The sequence below is a fragment of the Homo sapiens genome, chromosome 1 (assembly GCF_000001405.40).
Source record: "Homo sapiens chromosome 1, GRCh38.p14 Primary Assembly".
In the NCBI taxonomy this organism is placed as follows: Eukaryota; Metazoa; Chordata; class Mammalia; order Primates; family Hominidae; genus Homo; species Homo sapiens.
Window position 1 is genome coordinate 19,474,101 of NC_000001.11, and position 23,372 is coordinate 19,497,472.

The following is a 23,372-nucleotide window of genomic DNA, read 5'->3' on the forward strand; positions in this document are numbered from 1 at the left end:
TCCTCCCACCTCAGCCTCCCAAGCAGCTAGGACTACACGTGTGTGCCACCACATTTGGCTAATTTTTGTATTTTTTGTAGAGACAGGATTTCACCCTGTTGGCCAGGCTGGTCTCGAACTCCTGGCTCAAGCAATCCACCTGCCTCAGCCTCCCAAAGTGCTGGGATTACAGGTGTGAACTACCTCACCGGGCCCTATTTACAGTATTCTTACTTAATCCTCTGGACTACCCTGGAAGAGGACAATAGTATTTCCATTTTGCTGCTCAGGAAGTTGAGGCTGAGACATGAAGTGACTAGGTTCAAGCCCGCACAGTTCATAAGCAGCCACAGTGGGGTGTGGATCTGGGAGGCTCCTTTCGCTATACTACCCCAGGCTGCCTTCCAACAAGCCCTATTTTTCTTCCTGCATTCCTTTATCTTGCCCCCTTCTTAAACCTAAACCCTGACACTTCACATGCCTTAGAATCAAACACCTGCCCTTAAAATGAAATATCAAACCCTGAAGCAGGGCAGCTTGTAAGTACGGGGCAGTTTACCAATGCAAACGGGTTAGTAGAAGCTGAGAGTGCCTAGGAAGACCTGCCACCTTCACAAGAGGAGAAAATGGACCAGAAAATAAACACAGTACCTGTTGAGGGGGTCGTGCGGGTGACGAGGAGCATCTAAAGGCACCATACTTTGGCTGCCTCAAAGGCTCTGGGTACCAAATGTAACTGGCATGCCTGGGTGGGCCACTTACACCCAGAGAAACAAAAAAATTAAGTCTTCCAGAAGAGTGACTTGTATTATCACCTGAAACAAAAGCACCATTTCAAACAACTTGTTCATGGAGAGGCAGGTGCATGGTCTGCGAGGCCCAGAACTGACAAGGACCTGCAGGGAGCTATGGAGGAGGCGGGAGATCAGGTGTCCACACTAAGTCCAAGCTCCCAACACAAAGCAAAGGGAGTGTCCACATGCGAAGACCCTTCCGGCTCTAATAACACACTACGAGTCCATGTCACTGATAATAACATCGTGTTGTGGTTAATGTTAATAATTATGGTTAACACTTGCCTGGCTTTACACATATTAACTCATTTAATCCTCATAAAATCCATCAGAAATATCTACTTTTATGCTCACCATTTCTTAGACAAGGAGATGGAGGCACAGAGTGAAGGGAACTGCCCTGGTCTATACATCTTGGACCTGAAGCCAGGCTCTCTGGCTCCAGAGTCTGCCCTTCACTGCCCCTGGACTAGGAATCATGACTGCCTGGGATCACATAGAAACTCCAAGAAAGCCACCAGTGTGACTTCAGGCCAAGCGCTCAGCGCCCACCATGTGCACAGCGTTCAGTAAATGTCAGCTGCTGTTAGGATCACGGCTCCCACCACGGCCAAACCCTGACAAGGCCAGCACCACTGGGGCAGTCCTGAGCAGCAGAACCGCTCAAGAGAGCACTGCCCCATCTCGGGGGCAGACCCCGCTCGGCTCCTCTGTTCTCGACTGAGAGCCTGACACTGACAACTGGGTAGGCCCTAGGAGAAGCCAGGCTTGGCCGAGAGCTCAGGCCCAGAGATCTGGACATGGCTAGTCTCACAGTGGAATTGCCTGGCCCCAGTGTTTAGTCTGTATTAGGTTGAACCACATGAAAGGCTGGTTAATTCAACCCTTTTTTACCTAGGAAAATGGCAACTTCATATGGTTCAACCTAATGGAGGGAGGGATTCTTACATTTATTAAGGACCTACTGGACATTCAGTCATTCATCTAACACCTGTAGAGCAATGGCTGTGTCAGGGCCAGTGTGTAACACTGCTTCAGCACCCCAAGACTGAGAGCCAGGATTTTTCATCTTCCCTCCTAAGGATAAGAAACAAACTTACCAGGCAGAACAAGGGTAACCAACTCGATCTGCCTGAGCTCAGGTAACTACTAAAACAGGCCAATTTTGGCCAGGCATGGTGGCTTCACGCCCATAATCTCAGCATTTTAGAAGGTCAAGGCGGGAGGATCCCTTGAGCCCACAAGTTCGAGACCAGCCTGGGCAACAAAGTAAGACTCTGTCTCTAAAAAATAAGTAGATAGATAGATAGATAGATAGATAGATAGATAGATAGATAGATAGATAGATAGATAGGCAGGCAGGCAGGCACTGTGGCACATGCCTGTTATCCCAGCTGGCAGGCACTGTGGCACATGCCTGTTATCCCAGCTGCATGAGAGGCTGAAGGGGGAGGACTGCTTGAGCCGAGGAGGCTGAGGCTACAGTGAGCCAAGATGGAACCATGCACTCCAGCCTGGGCAACAGAATGAGACCCTGTCTCAATCAATCAATCAAACAGGCCAATTTTGTCTTTCCTCTCAGAATCCCTGCATCTTACACTGTATATGGTGACCAGGGCTGGGATGGGGCTTCATAGGAAAAAGCCAAAGGATCCTGCAAGGCTTTGTCACCCAATAGTCCCCATGGAGGGCTGTCGCAATGATTAAGATGTGCTGCTGCCACTCACGTCACAGGCAGGAAGAGCCAGGGACACTGACACTACTGCACAAAGAACCGTCCTGTCCAGTAGGCCAAGCCACACAGTGGCCGACGCTAGGCTAAGACTATCTCGCCCTTTCAGCTGAGTGGCTATCTTTTGGAAAACAGATTGCAGTTCACAAAGTTCCATCTCCTTGCATTTCAACAAGTGGAACCAAAAAAACCTCCTAAACAAAACCCAGACCTCTTCAGCCACTGTGGCTAGACGTACAGGGGAACCTCTCGGCCCCAGTTTCCTCATCTATAAAATAAACATCCCCATGGGCTGGTGCCAGAGAGGCAGGAGAGGGGAATTCCATCAGCATGCGCTGAGTGCGGTGGACCTGGACCTCCATGGCAACTGCCATTAACTAGCTGGGGGCCCTTCAGCAAGTTACTACACCTCTCTGAGCTCCGGTTTCCTTATCTGCAAAATGAGGAAACAGACCTCACAGGGTTGGTGTTGAGAGAATTACAGACAATGACTGTGGGCATCCGGTAAATACTGGCAGAAGGAAGGGGCCACTCTGTGAGTGAACACTCAATACCAGCCTACAGACTGAAGGTATCCTTCATTTCATGGCATCCCCTGATGCCTGTGCCATGAGTGCACTCCTCAAGACCAAGAATGGACTCTGCTTAACCACACCCCAGCCCATCCTCTCTGCCTGAACAAGGTCTCAAATCTCAGGACAACCAGGGGTCCACACCACCCTGTGCCCAAAAGAGATTTCAGGATAGAAGGTGTCTGGAGGGTATACACTGAGGACATGACAACAGCTCACATTGGAAATTCTCAGCAGAGGAACTAACAGCCAAGCCTGGCCGCTGCTCTTTTGGAGTCTGAGTTCCTCAGTGTCTCAAGACTTTTCACACCAGAAGGATGTGGTGGATTAAGGCTCCTCCTTCCAGTTTCTGAGCACAAAACTGCAACGCAGGGAGCCCACTCATGTGAAACCAACGACAGCCCATCAGGGTCAAAGCCTCACGACGGAGAAGCCTTCAGCAGCAACACTCTACCTGCCAATCACTGCTGCAACTGAGAAGGGAAAAGGGCACCGGTACCACCGGAAAATGCCACTGGCTCAATTCTAATTGGAAGCTCCAGCAGATAGGGTGCAATGCAAAAGCATCTTTTCATAACTTTTTTTGAAAGAAAGATGGGGTCTTACTATGTTGCCCAGGTTGGCCTTGAACTCCTGGGCCCAAGCGATCCTCCCACCTCAGCCTCCTGAGTAGCTGGGACCACTGACACACACCACAGCACCTGGTTTAACTTTCTATTTTAAGTTAAAGTACTTCACTTGGTAAATACGATGCCTGAATCCACTTACTAGGGCTCTGAGACAGCAAGCCCAAACACTGTTAAATAAGATACCGAGCCTAACTCAGGAGCATCATGCTGAGTTCAGCACTAGAAGAGGAAGCTGCACAGAGCAATTGAAGCAGAGGGTGGAGAAGTGCGGGGTCTGAGCCAGTGGTAACAACTGCTTCCAAGCTGCAATGTGGTAAGAGCTCTTGAGACCAGAAACCCTGGGCTGCTGTTTTCAGCAGTCTGGTGTTTAAACAGAATGAGCCCCTTAAGACCACTCTCCTTGGGCAAGGGACTCTACATCTTGGAGTCTCAGAAGAAGGAACTAGCACCTGCCTTCCAGGCTGGTTGGGAAGTTAAATGAAACACCACCTATCATCCATCCATGTTAACAGAATAACCACAATAATAAGAGATAACACTCCTACTGCACTTACAACGTGCCAGGCATCGTCTACACTTTCCACACATAAACTCAGTCCTCACAATCATCACTACGTGCCAGGTGAATGGCAACCACCAGGGTTGTTGCCTTACAAGACACGTGACGACACAACTGAAAACCTAACACTAGAAAGTTGTAGGCAAAGGCTCCTGTTCACAAGCATCCAGAGATGTCAGAAACATGTGGGGTGACCATAGGAGGAAGCACGGAAAAACGCAGGCAAGCAGCCTCCCTGCCTGTCTGACGCTGTGGACTTCCCCAGGCTGGTTCTGCACTCACTCCTGAGTCTTTCAGAACTTTGGACATACTTGCTTCCACCCGCTTCCTCCATTTAACCTTAAGACTCAGATGGCATATTCTATTAGGTCTACCTGACTGCTCAGTAGACATCCACGGAATGAATGACCCGATGGAAAAAAATCACTAAAGGGAGCATAGCGCAGTGCCAGGACTGCCAGGTGGGCCTCGGTTTCCTCACCTGCATAATGAGGGTGACATGAGAATCTGCCTCGTAGGGCTGGCTGGAATATTAAAAAGTCATCAGTCAAAACTAGCTCCTGGCCAAGTACAGTGGCTCATGCCTGTAATCCCCAGCACTTTGGGAGGCTGAGGCAGGCAGATCATGAGGCCAGGCGTTCAAGACCAGCCTGGCCAACATGGTGAAACCCTGTCTCTACTAAAAATACAAAAAATTAGCTAGGCATGGTGGTACGCACCTGTAGTCCCAGCTACTTGGGAGGCTGAGGCAAGAGAATTCCCTGAGTCTAGGAGACGGAGGTTGCAGGGAGTCGAGATCGTGCCACTGTACTCCAGCCTAGGTGGCAGAGCGAGACTCTGTCTCAAACAAACAAACAAAAAAAAACTAGCTTCTGTTATTCCTACAGCTGCCATGCAGAGCCCGCCACCCCACCATCTCCCTCAGCAGACTGGTGTCTTAGGCACCAGAACCTAATGCTGTGTGCATCAGGCTGAACTTGGTGCCACCTGCAGTCACAGAGTCACTGGCTGGATGGATCACTGGGCTACCCAGACTGAAATCCCCATTCAGTTGTTAACAGGCTCTCAAGGCTTTGCAGACACCACTATCTAGGATTTAGACTGACCTGAAATAGCTGTGTGTCAATGATAAACTGTCCAATCAGAACACCTACATGGGACAGCTCTGGGGCAGACCCCCTCAGCTCCAGAGGTGGTAAATCATTCCGTGTCACTCTGCCTTTATCTCCTTCCACCATCCCTTCCTTTCCACACCCACAGCTGCACAGTGGCCAGGACCCTCATAAGCTCACAAGCTGATGCTTGTGGAGGCCTCTCTCCCATCTCTTTCACCTCCCAGGCCTCCTGCATGCACAGCCAGAGGGCTCTTCCTAAAATACCACCGCTCTGCCAGCCTCCTCGAATTTCTACCTGCCCTGTCAAAAATTTCACTGGCTCCACACTGTCCCAGATCTAATGCAAACTCCTTAGCTTAGCAACTCAGGCACTCCACAACTCACTCCTGAGACTGAGGCACCCCATGGGCTCGCATCTACTGCTTGTGTGACCACACCCCCTGACCTCTGCTTTTGTGCCAGTCCCCTTGACCATACCCCACCCTGTCCTCTCTGCCTGAGCACACTCTTCCCAGGCTTCATGCCCAGCCCCCAAGCCGACTGCAGGCTGGAGTGGTCTGCAGGGCTGCGTGGAGGAGGGGGAAATGCAAGCCAGGCCTGCAGGGATGGGCAGACCACAGCACCCATGGGTCCCTGGCTAAGTCTTTTCTAGTACTACTTCATTCCTGCTGCACTTGGCTTTTTGGACGCATCTTGCCTCCCCCTCCCAGATTAGAGGACAGGGATGATGGCTTCTATTTGTGTCCCTTATTCTGTGGTATGCAGAATAAGACATGCAACAACCACAGCTACTGTGTGCCAAGCACTGGAGTAAGTACATTACAAATTTCACCCCTACTCCCCATCTCTATAAAATGTTATCCTCATGCGACGGAACAGGAAAACTGAGACCAAGGGAATTAGCCGCCTCACTGACAGTCACATGCTGAGTGGCAGACAGGACTCAAATCCAGATGTGCCCAACTGCAGAGACCATGTTCTGTGGAGCAGGCAGCCGCCTCTCAGCTCTCACTCAGTGTTTATGTAGCTGGCGCTAAGTGCCAGGCGGCCAGTGCAAGGTGTGGGGTACTCAGAGGGAACCAAACAGACAAGGTCCCTGCTCTCACAGAGCTCATATGCTCTGTCCCCAGCCCTGTCTCTCTTCTTCCAAGCCTGGAAGAGGGCAGGAACCCTCCAGTCACAGGGGGTTCCACTGGCACAAACAAGGAATTCGGGCCTGACATATAGCATGAGGCTCTGGCAACACATGGTGCCCAGCTCACAGTGAGCTTGTCTTTAATGGAGAAAAGAGCCCCAGGCTCTATTAGGTAAGTTGTGCGTTCAAGGCACAACCCAGAGCCAGACAAACTCCAAAGCAGCCATCGGCAGGCAGTACGGAGTGGAGAAAAACGGTTTGCTCTGGAGTCAGAAAACCCAATTCCTCCACTTAGTAGCTAGACAGGGACTAACCATACACCCCTTTGCACACTTTTGGAAAATGGTGATAATAACAATAGTTAATGTTTACATCACTATGTGCCAGATGCTACTGGATGCACTTGACAGATATTACTTAACCCTCATTACGACCTTATGCAGAGGTACTGTTATCCTAAAGCAGTCTGGCTCCTAACTCTATTTTCTTGTACTATGCTGCCTCCAGCCTAAAGTTGAACCTACCTTGTCAGGCTGTGGTGAGGACCGTTCTAACAGAGTGCATAGCATGTGGCTGGTGCTCCATAACCATTAAACCTCCCTTTCCTTCCACTGAAACATGAATCTGTGAAAGCCTAGGTCTGGAAATAGCATATGGCTCTAGCTGGTCCCAATATGGGTGATCTTGCAGTTGCATCCCCTGGAATTCCACACCGCACCCTCACTGGTGGATCTGCTGCAAGGGGAAATGGGACAAGATCCTGTATTTACGGGGCCCTCTGCTCACTGTGTTCTGGAAAACACAGTGAGTGGGGTCCAGCACATGACTTGGGCTGACAGGGATCCGAATCCCAGGCCTGCTGTTCACACCGGTCACTCAAGCTCTCAAGCTTCAGGTTCCTTGTGAGTAAAATGGGGGCTGGGCTATAACCTAAGTCATGTTTCTGGGTCACAGCAGATCCTCGGGTACCCGGGTTGGACAGGCTGGACAAAGCTACCCAGGCTGGACTTCCAAGGTACTGTAAGGTTTCATTTCGGGGCCCCAGAAAGCCTTGGCTGTGCAGAGGAGCGGACTGCGTGCACGTGCAATCCAATTCCACCCAATGGCAGACACAAGAGAAGACACACCCCAAAAGGCCTGGGAGTGGAGCCTGGCACAAGCCCCCAGCTTTCTCTTCAGTTTCCTGCCATAGCTCATGCAGATGTGCCTGCAGGTACACTGAACAAGGCTCTTTCCCCCTTAAGCTTTAGGTAACGATGACATCCCCACCCCTCAACAATGTGAGCCATGAGGGCAGAGATCCTTGTCTTGCATCCTCAGCACATAAGCACCACAGAGTAGGCACTTAATACACAAAAAGCTGAATTAACATTATCCTGTAGCTGCAGGTACCCCACAACATGCCTCAGTATTTGCCTAACAATAAGCATTTCCCAGCCTGGAGGGAGGGCAGGCTTCTAACGGGCGAGGCACCTGCCCTGCCACCATTTCCCTGTGGTCAGTCATGTCCTGTTCCCCACCTCATGGAATGTAAAAGTATAGGATGTCTGAGTTATAAATAGGAGCATCTGCTTTCAAAGACACGGCTTATCATTTCCTTAATCTCAAGCCACTGATCACTGCCTACTTTTTATAAGCATGCCACCAAAAAGAGGCCAGGTGGGCTTAAATGAACAGGGCTGTATAGACAGACAAGAGGGATGTGAGTTGAACAATGTGTCTTATCCACATCAAGAGACATTAATGTCAACTATGTTGTTTCACCTTGTAACAATACCAAGTTCCCATCAGCTCCTGCCAGGCAAAACCATCTGTGAGCTGGAGCAGCAATTCCTGAGGGGGCCTCCCTAGTCCCCGTTCCTGCTAAAGCCTCACCATCATCATAACTAAGAATAATTCCCAAGTCAGAAACTGAAGCTGTGTAAGGAACGGTGCTCTGAAATTGTACAGCACTCAGACAGTGGTAAGATTATTACCTGCTAAGGGAATGCAAATAAATTCCATTTGCCTATGCATTTTAACTGGGAAGGAGAAACTCATGCCAACAAAAATCATGGAATTCATTCCAAAGTCAAATGCATTTTAGATTCTCAAGTCACTATTTCCCTCAATGGATAACAGAGATCTAGCTGTATTCTCTACCATCAAATCTACTGAAAATGAAAAACATGGTGATCTGAATTCATTTACCTACAATGCAACCTCACACCACCACTTCTGTCCTACGCCAACCATCTACACCGGCTTAATGGTCAGAGTATTCAAATAGGGGATAAACGTAACAATAAGCAGTCAGAAATTACAAGGCTAAGGGATACTAAGAACAAGTGACTGAGAGAATGAATATGAAATCCAAGCAGGTAAGTTCATGGACACAGACACATGCCAAAGAGAACATTCCAAGTGGTTTCTTCCAACGCCAGGTGCTGTTCTAGGCCCCACGGATACAGCTGCGGAAAACACAAGACACAAATCTCTGCCCTCCAAGAGCTCATTCTGGCCCATGCTAAATATGCCTGTATCACCATACAGCTATTTCACTATAAACATGATTTCCTATACAAAGGATCTAAAATACAATACATGGGCAATAAATACTGCTCCTCCCCCCTTGCCATGTTTGAATATCCCATTTTATGTTTTTCAAACGGTATCATTAAACCTTCTGACATACAAGCAGCTTGGTACAATGGGAAGAACAGTTTAGAGCCTGCCAGATGGGCTTCCACTGACCAACAGTGGTTCCTCCACTGGCTGAGCAACACCCTGAATAAGTCACTCCACCTCCTGAGCCTCAGCTGCCTCATCTATAAAATGGGGACAGCCCCAGAAGGGCTTCCTGTGGATGAAAACAGCTTGTACAGGTGAAGCACACCACAGTGACTGGCAGACAGTTCCTCCACCCTTTCCAGCCTTTTCAGATGAGAGCTGAGTACAAGACTCCTGAGAAGCTTCAGGTGTCATGTGCTCCTCCTGGGGGACTGAGGCACTTTCCCATCACCTGGCGAGAATCGCTGCTTCCTGCCTTATACTTTGTCCTGAGTGCACACTCAGGAAACTTCAGCCCACTTTCAAAGTCCTCACCCACCACTGCCCTGGAGAAGTCGTTCTCCATCAAGGCCTGGGGCCAGGCCCACCTCCCCAAACAAGGAGTTTTCAGCCAAAGTTACTGGACAAATCCGAAGGCCTTAAAAGTGGCATTGCCCATGTTTTTAATCAGCATACAGGAAGGCATCAAAAGAAAGCTTAACCCATCTCAACTACTCACCCTCGTTCAGCAGCAACATCCCTTGACTAAACAAGGAACCATGGTCCTCAAAACACTTTGAGGCCCAAAGTCCACATACAAACATGCTCCAAAAATCCCTTGATCCTGTCAGGAAGAAGTTCTCTGGCCCTTCCAACCTAAGTGCTGGGCCTGTCCTGCAGAAGGGTCAAGTGGCAGGAGGGCAGGTCTATCTGTGGGGGCCTATGTGAAACCCCAGGTTCCTCAAAAGTCTGGATAGCATCTGCCTTCTTTACCAAAACAAACACCACGAGCGGAGCCAGCACTCTCCCTAGGCGTTCTGCTCACCTGATCCGAGGGACTTCCATAATCAGCAGTTCCAACCCTTGCAAGCTGACAGTTCAGAGGGAAGGGGAGGCTGCGCCTGCTTGGGTGCATCGTGTCCAGGCCATATGCTGGATCCAGGGCCTGGTGGCCCCCCAAGGCCACGGCCTCACAAGGGCGATTGTGCGTTCATCCTTGTCCTGTGGGCCACCCATCCTCGCCCCTCGGCTCCCACTCAGGCCCGGGCGCCGTGGACCCCGGCCTGCCCTGCAGAATGCTTCGCACGCACAGCACCCACGGCGGCAGCCTCGAGAAGGGCCCGCAGAGCAGCGCGCTGCCTTCTGGGCACACCGATGCCCGCCCTTCCCTCGCTGGCTCCTAGGCGGCCTCCCTAGAAGCGGCAACTGAGAAGGCACAGCACCGGGACCACCCCATCCCTGATGGAGAGCTCCCCTCGCTCCCCAAAGGCTGCAAAGAAGGCGCGCCCCAGGTACAGGGAAGGGGACCCTGGGTCGTGCACCAGGCAGGGGGCAGGACCCTGATGAGAGGCTCAGGGCGGGGACCGAGCGGGGCTGACGCAGGTTACGCTAGGAGTGGCGAAAAGTCCAGGGAAGGGGATCATGGTGGGGAGGGGGCAGTGAGGTCCAGACGGGGGCCATGGGCGGAGAAGAGGAGGTCCAGATTTAAGTTCACAGAGAGAAGAGGAGATTCAGGCTGAGGCCACGGAGAAGAGGGGAAGCAAACCTAGGCCGCTGCAGAAGGGGCTGACCGGGGTCCAGCCTGAGGCCATGGAGAAGGCAAAGGGGGAGGGACAGAGGGAGGCAGCGGCCTAGCCTGGGCCATGGCAGGGAGAAACGACGGCCTAGCCTGGGCCGGAGAGACGGGGGAAAGCAGACCTAGCCCTAGACCGGGGGAGGAAGGGGGCCCACGCCAGGGTCACCGAGGGGGTGCCTGGCTGGGGACACGGTTCGGGAGGGAGGGTCTAGCCTGGGCTATGGGAGAGACCAGCCTGAACACAGAGGTAGTGAGTGGGACTCCAGCTTGCGCCAAGGGCGGGGGCTGGGAGCGGGGGCAGGGTCACTGCCACCCAAGTCGTCCGCGCCGGCGGCACCCTCCTGGGCGGGGAGGGACCGGGTCCACCCAGGGTCCGGGACCCCGCCCCTCCCCCACCCCGGGAAGCCACCCGTCCCAGGCCAGGGATGGGCAGGGGGAGGGGGACGCGAGCTCCGGAGGGGCCCCCGGGCCGGGGAGGGGGCCGTGCGGCCTTTACCATGGTGGCGGCGGCGGCGGCGGTCCCGGTCCCGGCGTCAGTGGCTCTCCCCCCCGCAGCAGGGCCCGGCGCTTCCACTTCCCCGGGTGCCCAGGAGTGAACATCCGGGTCAGCACCCCCCTCCCCCCGCGCCGGGCCGCCGCCACCTTCCTTCCCCGCCCCGGCCCGGCCCGGGCCCGCCCCCCACGCCGCCAGCTCGCGGCCAATGAGCGCGCGGGGCTGCGGCGATCGCCAAGTATGGAGAGCGGCGCGAGAGGCGGGCGCCGACGGGGTGCGGGGGCGGGGCCTGCGAGGCGGGGCGGGGCGCGGCGCTGCGCGGCGCGGCTGCCGGGAGTCCCCGGCACGGGTTGCGGGCCGGGGCGGAAAGGTCTCCTGGCTGTCTGAGGTCCAGTCCCCGACTCTGGGCCTGCAGCAGCGAGTGGCGGCGAGGGAACCGCACCCCACAGTCCCCGCGGGCGGGGATGCGGAAGGCACCGCGGCTGGGAGGGGACCGGCCCTCCGCGCCCCACCCCGTGCACGCGCTCACTCCTGCGGCGCACCCGGAACTGCCGCCGAGCGCGGACCGGCCCGGCCCAGCCCAACCCAGCCCAACCCAGCACTGGGGGAGCGCGCCGGGAGCGGGGCAGGAGCCCAGCGCTGCCGCTCGCTACGGCAGGATCTGGAGCGCCGCGCTGCACCTGAGCCCGGGCACGAATTGAGGAGCCTCGGGCTGACGCCATTTATTCAGCACCTACTATGTGCCAGGCCTTGTTTAGGCACCGGAAGATAACAGATAAGACATAAAGATCCCTGCCGGTATAGCTGCAGACAGAATATCTGTGAGGATGACACAGGTAGAGATTAGAAAATTAAGTTCAACAGGTCGGCCGCGGTGGCTCACGCCTGTAATCCCAGCACTTTGGAAGGCCGAGGCGGGCCAAGGTCAAGAGATCGAGACCATCCTGGCCAACATGGTGAAACCCCGTTTCTACTAAAAATACAAAAATTAGCTGGGCGTGGTGGTTCGCTCCTATAGTCCCAGCTACTCGGGAGGCTGAGGCAGGAGAATCGTTTGAACCCGGGGGCAGAGGTTGCAGTGAGCCAAGATCGCGCCACTGCACCCCAGCCTGGCGACAGAGCAAGACTCTGTCTCAAAAGAAAAAAAATTAAGTTCAACAAATGCTAGCTGTTATGAGTACTGTTGAATGTGCTACAGAGAACCATTCCATTAGCCCAGAAGGGCTTCCTCGCTCCACAAAGTGACTCAAGTTTCTCTCTCCCAATCTCTCTCTCTCTCTCTCAATCAAATATTTGTTAAGCTTAGTCTAGGTAGCAGGAGAGATCTGGATTGCTAACAATATCTGCCTCCGTGGCCTGTTTGCTTTGGTTAAATCAAATTAGGCGATCTGTGAGGGGATGGTAAACTGCACAGATGACAGGAATTGTTTCCCTGAGCCAGGCCCTGTCCTCAGGGAGCTCATAGACAAGTCGAAGCTTTCACAGGTAGCCACTGGCAGAAAAAGCATACGGGTAAGTCTCGCAAGAATGGTATTGGATGAGTATTACAGAAATTCAAGGAAGAGAATGGCACACGCAGTAGATACTTATTGAGCATCTGCTATGTGCCAAGCACTGTGCTAGGCTCTGGAAATAGAGCAATGAGCAAAATAACCCACATGGTTGTGGAGCTTGAGTGTTGTCAGGGAGACAGTCGGCCACCAGGCAAATACAGTGTCCAAGGCCAGGCACAGTGGCTCACGCCTGTAATCTCAGCACTTTGGGAGGCCGAGGTGGGCAATCGCTTGAAGTCAGGAGTTCCAGATCAGCCTGGCTAACATGGCGAAACCCCGTCTACTAAAAATACACAAAGTTAGCCGAGGCCGGGCGCAGTGGCTCACGCCTGTAATCCTAGCACTTTGGGAGGCCGAGGTGGGCGGATCACGGGGTCAGGAGATCGAGACCATCTTGGCTAACACGGTGAAACTCCGTCTCTACTAAAAATAAAAAAATTAGCTGGGCGGGATGACGGGCGCCTGTAGTCCCAGCTACTCGGGAGGCTGAGGCAGGAGAATGGCGTGAACCCGGGAGGCGGAGCTTGCAGTGAGCCGAGATCGCGCCACTGCACTCCAGCCTGGGCGACAGAGAGAGACTTCGTCTCAAAAATAAAATAGTAATAATAATAATACAGTGTCGGGTAGTGATTAGAGATAATGAGAAAAATTCAAGCAAACAGGTAGGCAGGCAAGGCCTAACTTAGCAATATTTGATCATATAGCTGAAGGGAAGGAGGGAGCAAGCCGTGTGGATAGCAGAGGCACAAGGAGCAGCAAGGGTAAAAACCCTGAAGGTGACAGTGCTGCATCAGCACTGGTGTGTTTTCAAGGGCCAGACAGGAGGCCAGTGTGGCTAGCCTAGGTCGAGCAGGAGCTGAAGGACAGGGCAATGACAAGATTTGACCTAGGCTTTAAAAGGATCATGAGGCTGCTGTGTTCTGAATGGACTGTAGGGGGACTAGGGCCTTAGAAAGCCATTTCTATATTGAGGACATTTATTTATTTAAAAAGCACTGATATGGCACATCCTATGTGATGAACACTGTTAAGCACCTTACAGATAATAAGCCATTTAATCCTCATGACAGAAGCCTGAAAAGGTAAGGAGCTTGCCCAAGGTCACACAGCAGAGAGATGAAGCTGGCTTAGACCAGGGTAGTAGCATTGGAGATGGCAAGAAGTAGATAGTATTCTAGGTATTTCCTGATGTATTGGTGGTAGGCATGAGAAGAAAGGAATCAAGGATGATGCTAAGATTTTTTTTTTCATATTTAAAGACTTTGTCTTCTGTTGTTTTTTGTTTTGAGACAGTGTCTCAGTTCTGTTGCCCAGACTGGAGTGCAGTGGCGCAATCATAGCTCACTGCAGCCTCAACACCCCCGGACTCAAGTGATCCTCCCACCTCAGCCCCTCCCCACCCCCGCCCTGAGTAGCTGGGACTACAGGCGTGCATCACCGTGCCAGGCTAATTTTTTTGTAGAGACTGAGTCGCACTGTATTACCCAGGCTGGTCTCGAACTCCTGGGCTTAAGCAATCCTCCCACCTCAGCCTCCTAAAGTGCTGGGATTACAGGCATGAGCCACTGCACCCGGCCAAGACTTTGTTTTTTAGAGCAGTTTTAGTTTCACAAGAAAATTGAGAGGAAGGTACAGAGACAATCCATATATACCCCCCTGCCCCACATATGCAGAGCCTCCCTGAATTGTCCCCATTCCCCACTAGTGTGGTACATCTGTTGCAAATAACCTGCATTCATACATCGTGATCACCCAATAGTTTACATTAGGGTTCACTTATACAATCTATGGGCTTGGAGAAGTGGATAATTACATCTAGCCACCGTTAGAACCATCATACGGAATATTTTCACTGCCCTAAAAATCCCCCGTGTTCCACCTCTTCATCCCCTTTCCCCCAGCTCCTGGCAACCACTGATCTTTTTACTCCATAGTTTTGCCTGATGCTAAGGTTTTTGGCTTAACACTGGAAGGATTTACCATTTATTGATCTGGGGAAGACTGTAGGAGGAGCAGGGTTTTTCTGAGGAGAGGGTTGTGGATAAGAGGGAGCAAGTTATGTTTGAGATGCCTATTGGAGATTTTTTTGTTTTTGTTTTTGAGATGGAGTCTCACTCTGTCGCCCAGGCTGGAGTGCAGTGGTGCGATCTCGGCTCACTGCAGCCTCCGTCTCCTGGATTCAAGCAATTCTCCCACCTCAGCCTCCCAAGGAGCTGGGACTGCAGGCGTGCGCCACCACGCCTGGCTGATTTTTGAATTTTTAGCAGAGACAGGATTTCACCATGTTGGCCAGGCTGGTCTTGAACTCCTGACCTCAAATGATCTGCCCGCCTTGGCCTCCCAAAGTTCTAGGATTACAGATGTGAGCCACCATGCCTGGCCTCCTACTGGAGATTTTTTATTTTATTTTATTTTTTTTGAGACGGAGTCTGGCTGTGTCGCCCAGGCTGGAGTGCAGTGGCACAATCTCGGCTCACTGCAAGCTCCGCCTCCCGGGTTCACGCCATTCTCCTGCCTCAGCCTCCCGAGTAGCTGGGACTACAGGTGCCCGCCACTACACCTGGCTAATTTTTTTTTGTATTTTTAGTAGAGATGGGGTTTCACCATGTTAGCCAAGATGGTCTTGATCTCCTGACCTCATGATCCGCCCACCTCGGCCTCCCAAAGTGCTGGGATTACAGGCGTGAGCCACCGCGCCAGGCCCCTCCTACTGGAGATTTAAATGGAGATGTCAGGTGGGCGTGGTGGCTCACACCTGTAATTCTAGCACTTTGGGGAGACAAGTGGATCACCTGAGGTCAGGAGTTCAAAACCAGCCTGGCCAACATGGTGAAACCCTGTCTCTACTAAAAATACCAAAATTAGGTGGGCATGGTGGCACATGCCTGTAATCCCAGCTACTCAGGAGGCTGAGCCAGGAGAATCACTTGAACCCAGAGGTGGAGGATGCAGTGAGCAGAGATTGCACCACTGCACTCCAGGCTGGGTAACAGAGTGATACTCCATCTCAAAAAATAAAAATAAAAATAAATAAATGGAGATATCAAATAAGTAATTAGATATGGAAGTTTGGAGTTGGGGGAAGAAGTTAGAGCTGTGATAAACTTATGAGAACTGTCAGCTAGTAAATGGCATGTAAAGATACTTGAAAGCACAGACATCTTGGTGAACTCACTTTGTGGGTGAATGTAGAGAGAAGAGGTCATGAAGATAAAGAGGAACCAGCAGAAAGACTGAGAAGGAATGACCCGCGAGGCAGGAACAGGACCAAGAAAAGGTGGTGTCCTTCTTGGATACCAAGGGATGGAGGCCAAGCCTGAAGGAAAGTTCATTCACTGGACAGGTCACTCCACAGATTGGCTGCCCACTGCTCAGATCCTGCCCCTAGATCCATCAGCTATTGCTATGAGCATGGAGACACATGGCATTAAACATGGTCATCTACAAGGGGTTGTGAATTGGTATGCAGGCACTATAAATTTTGTTTATTTTAAAATTTTTTGGCCAAGCATGGTAGCTCACGCCTGTAATCCCAGCACTTTGGAAGCCTAGGTGGGAGTATTGCTTAAACCCAGGAGTTCGAGACCTCACTGACAAAGTGAGACCCCGTCTCTATAAAAAAGTCAAATAATTAGGCATGGTGGCACATGCCACTGGTCCCAGCTACACAGGAGGCTGAGGCAGGAAGATTCCTTCAGCCCAGGAGATTAAGGCTGCAGTGAGCCATGATTGCACCACTGCATTCCAACCTGCACAACAGAGTGAGACCCTCGTATCCAAATAAATAAATAAATAAATAAATAAATAAATAAATAAATAATAACTTTATAATTTAAATAGGGACGGGATCTCACCATGTTGGTCAGACTGATCTTGAACTCCTGGGCCCAAGTGATTCTCCTGCCTTGGCCTCCCAAAGTGTTGGGATATCAGGTGTGAGCCACAACATCCAGGCCATAAATATCTTTAGCAATGTTTCTCGTCTCATCCTCTTTTAAAGACCCTAACCCCCTTGAAGTTCATACTGTGATATTTTTCCACCTGCCACACCCTTTTTTTTTTTTTTTTAGCTTTCATGAACTTACCTCCATCTCCCCTTCTACACTTTCTTTAGGACTTCAGCATCCATAAGCATAATCCACCAGAAATCTTACTGACTTCTCCCTGATTTCTTCCCTACCAATCAGTTTCCTTTGCCTCTCTCCAGGTCCCACTCCTGTGGTCTTACCCTGGCCTGTTCTCGCCTTTAACTGCACTATCTCAGAAATCACAATCACACTGGCCAGGCATGGTGGCTCATACCTATAATCCTAACACTTTGGGAGGCTAAGCCCAGGATTTTGAGACCAGCATGGGCAACATGGCAAGACCCCATTTCTATAAAGATTTTTTTTTTTAATTAGCCAGGCATGGTGTCATGTACCTGTGGTCCCAGCTACTTGGAAGGCTGAGGTGGGAGAACCTCTTGAGCCCAGGAGGTTGAGGCTGCAGTAAGCTGTGTTTGTGCCACTGCACTCCAGCCTGGGCAACAGAGTGAGACCCAGTCTCCAAAAAAGAAAAGAAATCACAGTCACAAAGATCTCAAATCTGAGTCTAACCCGCTTACCATAGTATCACCACAAAAGCATTTCCTCAACCTCATTATTTCTTCAACCTCATCAAGACCTGCAAACCTTTGTCCCTGCCAGATTTTCACAATTACCTTCCCCTTCATGCTCACATCCCACCTGACCCAGCTTAGTAATGAGTATGATACTAACTCCCTTACAAAAGCCCAGAACCCTTTTACCTCCACCTTTTTTCATCAGAACATCTGAACATTGGCTGGGCAAGGTGGCTCATGTCTGTAATCCCAGCGCTTTGGGAGGCTGAGATGGGCAGATCACTTGAGGCCAAGAGTTTGAGACCAGCCTGGCCAATATGGGGAAACACTATCTTTACTAAACATACAAAATCATCCAGGCATGGTGGTGGGCGCCTGTAATCTCAGCTACTCAGGAAGCTGAGACAGGAGAATCGCTTGAACCCGGGAGGCAGAGGTTGCAGTGAGCCAATATCACGCCACTGCACTCCAGCCGGGGTGACATAGTGAAACTCCGTCTCAAAAAACAAAACAACAACAACAACAAAACCATCTGAACATTGCTGGAAAGTTGAAAGTGATTGCTCTTCCTTTAAGGTGAGGTCCACAAATTTCAAACGAGCCCTCAAGCCTGCCTAGCAATTCTACTGTATTACTCCACTGTAGCCCCCTGCTCACACTCTTAAATGGTGATTTTTCATCCTTCTTCCTCCTCAAGCTTCCTTTGTCCCCTTTGCATCCTTCTCTCTAAGCAGATGGCCTTGCCTCACACTTCACAGAAATAATGGAACCAGACAGGAGCTTATCATCTACCAACATCTCTGCACCTTCCCCGCAATCTTTGACTCCCCAGATTTTACAATAAATGAAGCGTTTTTGTTCCTATCAGAGTCACCCCTCCACTTGTTCTCTGGATCCTTCCTTCCTTAGTCACCAGTTTCTCCCTTGGTACTGGATCATTCCTATCTGCTTCAGAAAACATGCTCTAATAGCTCCTATCATAAAAAAAAAAAAGTTTTAAGAACCACCACTCAAAACTCCTGGATCCTGCGTCTCCCTGTAGCCACTTCCCCCATTTTTCTGCTCTCATTCACACCAAAACCTTGTAAATTCTTTGCAGTTGTTGATTCCACACCTGCTCCATTTTCTCCTCCAGTCAGTCTGATCAGGCCTCTGCCCCCACCTGCCCAGGAAGAGACATTGCTCTCCTCAAGCTGACCTGGGAACTCGATGTTGCAGAAGCCAGTGCTCACTTTGGGGACTCATCTTACTCCTGGCTTCTCCTCCTTCATGTACCTCTCTTGGCTTGCCTGAGATCAGTAAGGCTACCACATCCCAGCACATAGCATGGCAGTTACACATAGTAGGGGCCCATAAGCATTTCCTGATTGGAGGCAAGGTGGAAAGGAAGCCTTCTCCTGGTGCTCAAGTTTCCCCTGAGTTTCCTTTGATGGTTCTTCCTTTCCTGAAGGCTTAGTTCTGGGACCCTTGTTCTTCTGCATCTGAGTCCTCTTTTGGTCATTATGGACCTAGGTGTTCACCTAGAACATAATCAGTGCTCAATGAAGGTATGTGAATGAAGATAATAGTATCAACAGGATAAGATTATTGTGTGAATAAACAAAGAATGAATAATACAGCTACTTTTTCATGAGTACTTGCTATGTGCTAAGCACTTTTTGTGTATTATAGACTCCTCCCAACCATCCTTTGAGTTAGGAACTTTTTTTTTTTTTTTTTTTTTTTTTGGAGACAGGGTCTCAGGTTGGAATGCAATGGCACAATCTCGACTTACTGCAACCTCCGCCTCCCAGGCTCAAGCAATCCTCCCAACTCAGCCACCTATGTAGCTGGTACCACAGGTGTGAGCCACCACTGCTGGCTAATTTTTATATTTTTTGTAGAGACAGATTTTTGCCATGTTGCCCAGGCTGCTCTCAAACTCCTGGGCTCAAGCGATCCCCCCACCTCAGCCTCCCAAAGTGCTGGGATTATAGGTGTGAGCCACCATGCCTGGCCAGAACTTTTATTATTACCAATTTATAGAAGAAGTTGGGTCTTAGATGAAATGACTTGCCTAAAGTCACACATAATACGTGGATGGATTTATTCTCACTTTGGTCTTCCTGACTCAAAATCTGTTCTCAGAATCACCAGATTGAGATCATAGGTAGGAAAGGGCTTTGTAAGCTGCAAAAGGCAGTGCTACCACATCCCGGCACATAGAATGGCAATTACACATAGTAGGTGCCCATAAGCATTTTCTGAATTGAGGCAAGGTGGAAGGGAAGCCCCAAGCCATATAATACCATCACCTGAGGAAGGAAGCAGCAACCTTGAGGTCCTTGAAAGACAGCCTTCTACCCTATGCCAAATCAGCTCATACAGGACCCATTAAAGCAGACATTGCCCAGAAGTTGCCCAACATCTGTCTTTCCTTCTTCAATTACATCTATTAATTGGGTTAATAAATGCACAGTTATCCCAGGAGCTGGGGATTGCCTAGCTCCTAAATTACCTCCCGTCTAACAGGTCTGGGCCTGTTTCCTAAGTTGGGCATCTTCTCAAGTTACTAACACGGTTTTAGGTGTTTTACCGTGTCTTTAGAAATGCCTGAGAACCCTTAGAATAAGCCAGATTTTAACCCCTCAATACACTGAATTCTACAGCTAGCCGTATTGCCTGAACATCCTAACTCCATATACTGAAGTTTCAATGGGATTCAATTTAAGAATCTTTGTTACCGGCCGGGCATGGTGGCTCATGCCTATAATCCCAGAACTTTGGAAGGCTGAGGTGGGCGGATCACCTGAGGTCATGAGTTCGAGACCAGCCTGGCCAACATGGTGAAACCCCATCTCTACTAAAATACTTAAACTAGCTGAGCGTAGTGGTGTGCACCTGTAATCTCAGCTACTCAGGAGGTCGAGGCATGAGAATTGCTTGAACCTGTGAGGCAGAGGTTTCAGTGAGCTGAGATCACGCCACTGCACTCCAGCCTGGGTGACCACAGAGACTCTGTCTCAAAAAAAAAAAAAAGAATCTTTGTTACCAAGAGTTCCAAGAGGGAGGGAACACCACATGGCAAGGCCATCTGCACCATCATTCAGTTGGCTTCGAGGTCACTGCTGGGGTACCTCCCAGGTATGAATACCGTCTCTTTCCTACAACTTAACCCTGTCTCATTTTCAGACATTTAGTTTGGGTGGGGTTCAGCCCACCCCCAGCTCTAGAAGAGAGGATTCTGATTGACCAAAGTCAAAGTATAGCCTTGGCCATGCTAATTGGTTTGCAGATCAGCCCCTGACCTAATTTGGGCCAGGGTGCTTTCTGCGGAACAGTAATCAAAATGAACTCGGCCTGAAGAGGGGCAGTTCACCAAGTAAGTTTGGGAAATCCTGTAAACAATATTCCCTCTTGGGGATTTTATTTTCTCAAGAACCTTACACTTCAATTATCCTGTCTCTCCCCAGATTGTTCAACTAATGATTACTGTGGTTTTAAACATGCCTAAGTGTTCTGATTTTTTTTTTTTTAAAGAAAGAAACCTACGTGAATTCCTCATCTTCTCCAGCTTACCGCCACCTCCTCCCTTTCCCAGCTGGAGAATTGTCTGTGTTTCCTCCTTCCACTTCCTAACCTCCCATTCGCTTACGTAACTCCTCCACTGAAATAGCTCTGAGGTCACCCATAACCTTCATGTTGAAGGTCACATGCACAACTTTCTTTTAAATTTTTTTTTTTTTTTTTTTTTGAGACAGGGTCTCGTTTTGTTGCCCGGGCTGGTCTCAAACTCCTGGGCTGAAGCACGAAGCACTCCTCCCTTCCCAGCCTCCCATAGTGCTGGGATCACAGGCATGAGCCACCTTGCCGGGCCACATGCACAGTTTTCAAACTTCACCTCCTGTAACTTCCCAGTAGCCTCTGGTGCTTTGGCCACGTCCTCCCTCCTTGAAGCACTCTTTCCCATTGGCTTCCATGACATCATGTGACTCTCCTAGTCTTAATCCTACCTCTACGCTCCTTCTCTGGGTTCTCTGGAGACTCCTTCTCCTCCACACACCTACTAAACGATGGAGTTCCTTGAGATTTGGTAGCAGGTTCTTTCCTTCTCTAACTTTGCCCTTTTTCCTTAGGCAATTTCAGCCATGTTCATTTCTTCAGTTACCAGTGGCCTCAGCCCTGGAGCTGGCAGATGGGGACCTGATGATCAGGGAGGGAAACTGTTTCCCTGATGATGGGGGAAATCAGGATACTGTTACCAAAAGAAGGAGAAGGGCTGCTGAAAAGTAGAGAGAAGGAAAGAAAGAAACAGATGGGCATTACGGGCATCCTGAGTAAGCTCTGGCAAGTGAATGAAACAGACTTATTTGTGGTCTCAGAAATTTCTAGTCATTGAAACCTTAAGCAGGACTGAGTACAGGCCAAAAAAAAAAAATGCTGATTTCCTTTGAAGACAGAAAATTGTGTGGTTTGTAGAGGAGGCAGCCTCAGCTAGACAGCTTAGATCAACTTTTTCCAGCCTTCAGCATCTTGAAAGTACATGTAGCAGGGAGCAGGGAGGTGGACAGACCACTAGCAATCCACTTCTTTTTAATGCATCCCCAAAGTCTTCAGTGCCAAGAGGATACTTTACTCTGAGGTTAGACACAATCATCTCAGGGTTTTTGCTTTTGCTTTTCTAATAGGTACCTGGGAGAACTCACAGCTGCCTTCTGCTGGACCAGAAGTATTTGTATCCTGACCATCTACGGGGTCTTGGTCAGAGTTATGGAAGGGCCTCTCACATGCAGGCCAGCTGTTGGAGTTTTTATATGCATATTTGGGAAACTTCACGTTTAGTGTATTAAGCTGGCCAGCCAGTCACCCACCAGGGTTGGGCTGGACTCTACAATGTGTCTAATGCTGACTCTTCCTTTAGATTCAGCATAATCACCCTCTTATCCTGGTAATATCTCTGACAGTCCCCTCAAAAGCTGGGTTTGGGACCCCCTGTTCTGTGTTGCCATGGAAACTTCTACTTTGTGTACCTTATCAGATCACTTTTCACTTGGTCCCTACTGCGCTATGGCTCCTTGAGGCAGGGACTGTGAGTCATATCACTAACAATTAGCATGGAACCTGGGATATGGCACAATATGAATGAAGCCTGTCAAATTGTGAGCCAGAGAACCTCCAGTCATCCAGGATGCAAACCTCAGCCATCCTCTACTTCTCCAAAATCCTCATCTCTCATTCCAGTCAGACACTGCAGTGTTCCAAATGAAGCTAAACTACATGCAGAACTGACATAGGACCTGATAAAGTGGTAGGACTTGAGAAAAATCTAGTGAAAGGCTGGAATAAAAGATCAGAGCAATGAACAATTGTAAAATAAATTTAAATATCTTTATAATAATATCAAAAAATATAAAATACTCAGGAGATATAGATATATATATATTTTTTTTTTTTGAGATGGAGTTTCACTCTTGTTGCCCAGGCTGGAGTGCAATGGCATGATCTCGGCTCACCGCAACCTCCGCCTCCCAGGTTCAAATGATTTCTCCTGCCTCAGCCTCCCTAGTAGCTGGGATTATAGGCATGTGCCACCATGCCCGGCTAATTTTGTATTTTTAGTAGAGACGGGGTTTCTCCATGTTGGTCAGGCTGGTCTTGAACTCCCGACCTCAGTTGATCCGCCCACCTCGGCCTCCCAAAGTGCTGGGATTACAGGCGTGAACCACCGTGCCCGGCCACTCAGGATATATTTAATGAAAGATGTACAAGGCCTGAAAACAAGAAAACATTGCCAAGATAAATTAAAAATCTAGATCAATAAGATGTACCCTATTTATGGATTGGAAGATTCAATATCATCAAGATGTTCATTCTCCTGAAAATGTACCATAAATTCAATGCAATT

The 23,372-nt window shown here is 49.9% G+C and overlaps 1 protein-coding gene and 1 long non-coding RNA gene across 9 annotated transcripts in view, besides 9 other annotated features; one reads left to right on the forward strand and one right to left on the reverse strand.

Annotated features, from left to right (window-relative positions):
- Positions 1-11,439, reverse strand: part of CAPZB (capping actin protein of muscle Z-line subunit beta) — a 146,765-nt gene extending 135,326 nt beyond the window's left edge. For 4 of the 8 annotated variants that reach the window (NM_004930.5, NM_001206540.3, NM_001206541.3 and 1 more), the window contains exon 1: positions 11,336-11,439. In NM_004930.5, the coding sequence (NP_004921.1) occupies positions 11,336-11,338 (3 nt within the window). In that variant the 5' untranslated portion in view covers positions 11,339-11,439. Of the gene's footprint in view, positions 1-10,089; positions 10,196-11,335 lie in introns of those variants that run through there. The other 4 variants (NM_001282162.2, XM_011542228.4, XM_017002429.3 and 1 more) reach the window with 1 other exon arrangement.
- Positions 3,586-3,685: an enhancer, noted in NCBI's record as "active region_304". NCBI's record gives its function as "activates an Ori minimal core promoter by ATAC-STARR-seq in GM12878 lymphoblastoid cells {active_cell/tissue: GM12878}" and the evidence as "EXISTENCE:reporter gene assay evidence [ECO:0000049][PMID:35858748]".
- Positions 7,465-8,150: an enhancer, noted in NCBI's record as "OCT4-NANOG-H3K27ac-H3K4me1 hESC enhancer chr1:19808059-19808744 (GRCh37/hg19 assembly coordinates)". NCBI's record gives its function as "activates a minimal SCP1, AML or CMV promoter by ChIP-STARR-seq in naive H9 embryonic stem cells {active_cell/tissue: H9 hESC(naive)}" and the evidence as "EXISTENCE:reporter gene assay evidence [ECO:0000049][PMID:30033119]".
- Positions 9,716-10,224: an enhancer, noted in NCBI's record as "H3K27ac-H3K4me1 hESC enhancer chr1:19810310-19810818 (GRCh37/hg19 assembly coordinates)". NCBI's record gives its function as "activates a minimal SCP1, AML or CMV promoter by ChIP-STARR-seq in primed H9 embryonic stem cells {active_cell/tissue: H9 hESC(primed)}" and the evidence as "EXISTENCE:reporter gene assay evidence [ECO:0000049][PMID:30033119]".
- Positions 10,225-10,732: an enhancer, noted in NCBI's record as "H3K27ac-H3K4me1 hESC enhancer chr1:19810819-19811326 (GRCh37/hg19 assembly coordinates)". NCBI's record gives its function as "activates a minimal SCP1, AML or CMV promoter by ChIP-STARR-seq in primed H9 embryonic stem cells {active_cell/tissue: H9 hESC(primed)}" and the evidence as "EXISTENCE:reporter gene assay evidence [ECO:0000049][PMID:30033119]".
- LOC105376819 (uncharacterized) overlaps positions 10,420-23,372 on the forward strand; it is a 47,268-nt gene continuing 34,315 nt past the window's right edge. Inside the window, exon 1 of the long non-coding RNA XR_007065522.1 lies at positions 10,420-10,555. This is a non-coding gene — a long non-coding RNA (uncharacterized LOC105376819). The remainder of the gene's footprint in view (positions 10,556-23,372) is intronic.
- Positions 10,733-11,241: an enhancer, noted in NCBI's record as "H3K27ac-H3K4me1 hESC enhancer chr1:19811327-19811835 (GRCh37/hg19 assembly coordinates)". NCBI's record gives its function as "activates a minimal SCP1, AML or CMV promoter by ChIP-STARR-seq in primed H9 embryonic stem cells {active_cell/tissue: H9 hESC(primed)}" and the evidence as "EXISTENCE:reporter gene assay evidence [ECO:0000049][PMID:30033119]".
- Positions 10,733-11,255: a biological region, named in NCBI's record as "H3K27ac-H3K4me1 hESC enhancer GRCh37_chr1:19811327-19811835".
- Positions 11,146-11,255: a silencer, noted in NCBI's record as "silent region_355". NCBI's record gives its function as "represses an Ori minimal core promoter by ATAC-STARR-seq in GM12878 lymphoblastoid cells {active_cell/tissue: GM12878}" and the evidence as "EXISTENCE:reporter gene assay evidence [ECO:0000049][PMID:35858748]".
- Positions 11,286-12,015: a silencer, noted in NCBI's record as "silent region_356". NCBI's record gives its function as "represses an Ori minimal core promoter by ATAC-STARR-seq in GM12878 lymphoblastoid cells {active_cell/tissue: GM12878}" and the evidence as "EXISTENCE:reporter gene assay evidence [ECO:0000049][PMID:35858748]".
- Positions 13,275-13,782: an enhancer, noted in NCBI's record as "H3K4me1 hESC enhancer chr1:19813869-19814376 (GRCh37/hg19 assembly coordinates)". NCBI's record gives its function as "activates a minimal SCP1, AML or CMV promoter by ChIP-STARR-seq in naive H9 embryonic stem cells {active_cell/tissue: H9 hESC(naive)}" and the evidence as "EXISTENCE:reporter gene assay evidence [ECO:0000049][PMID:30033119]".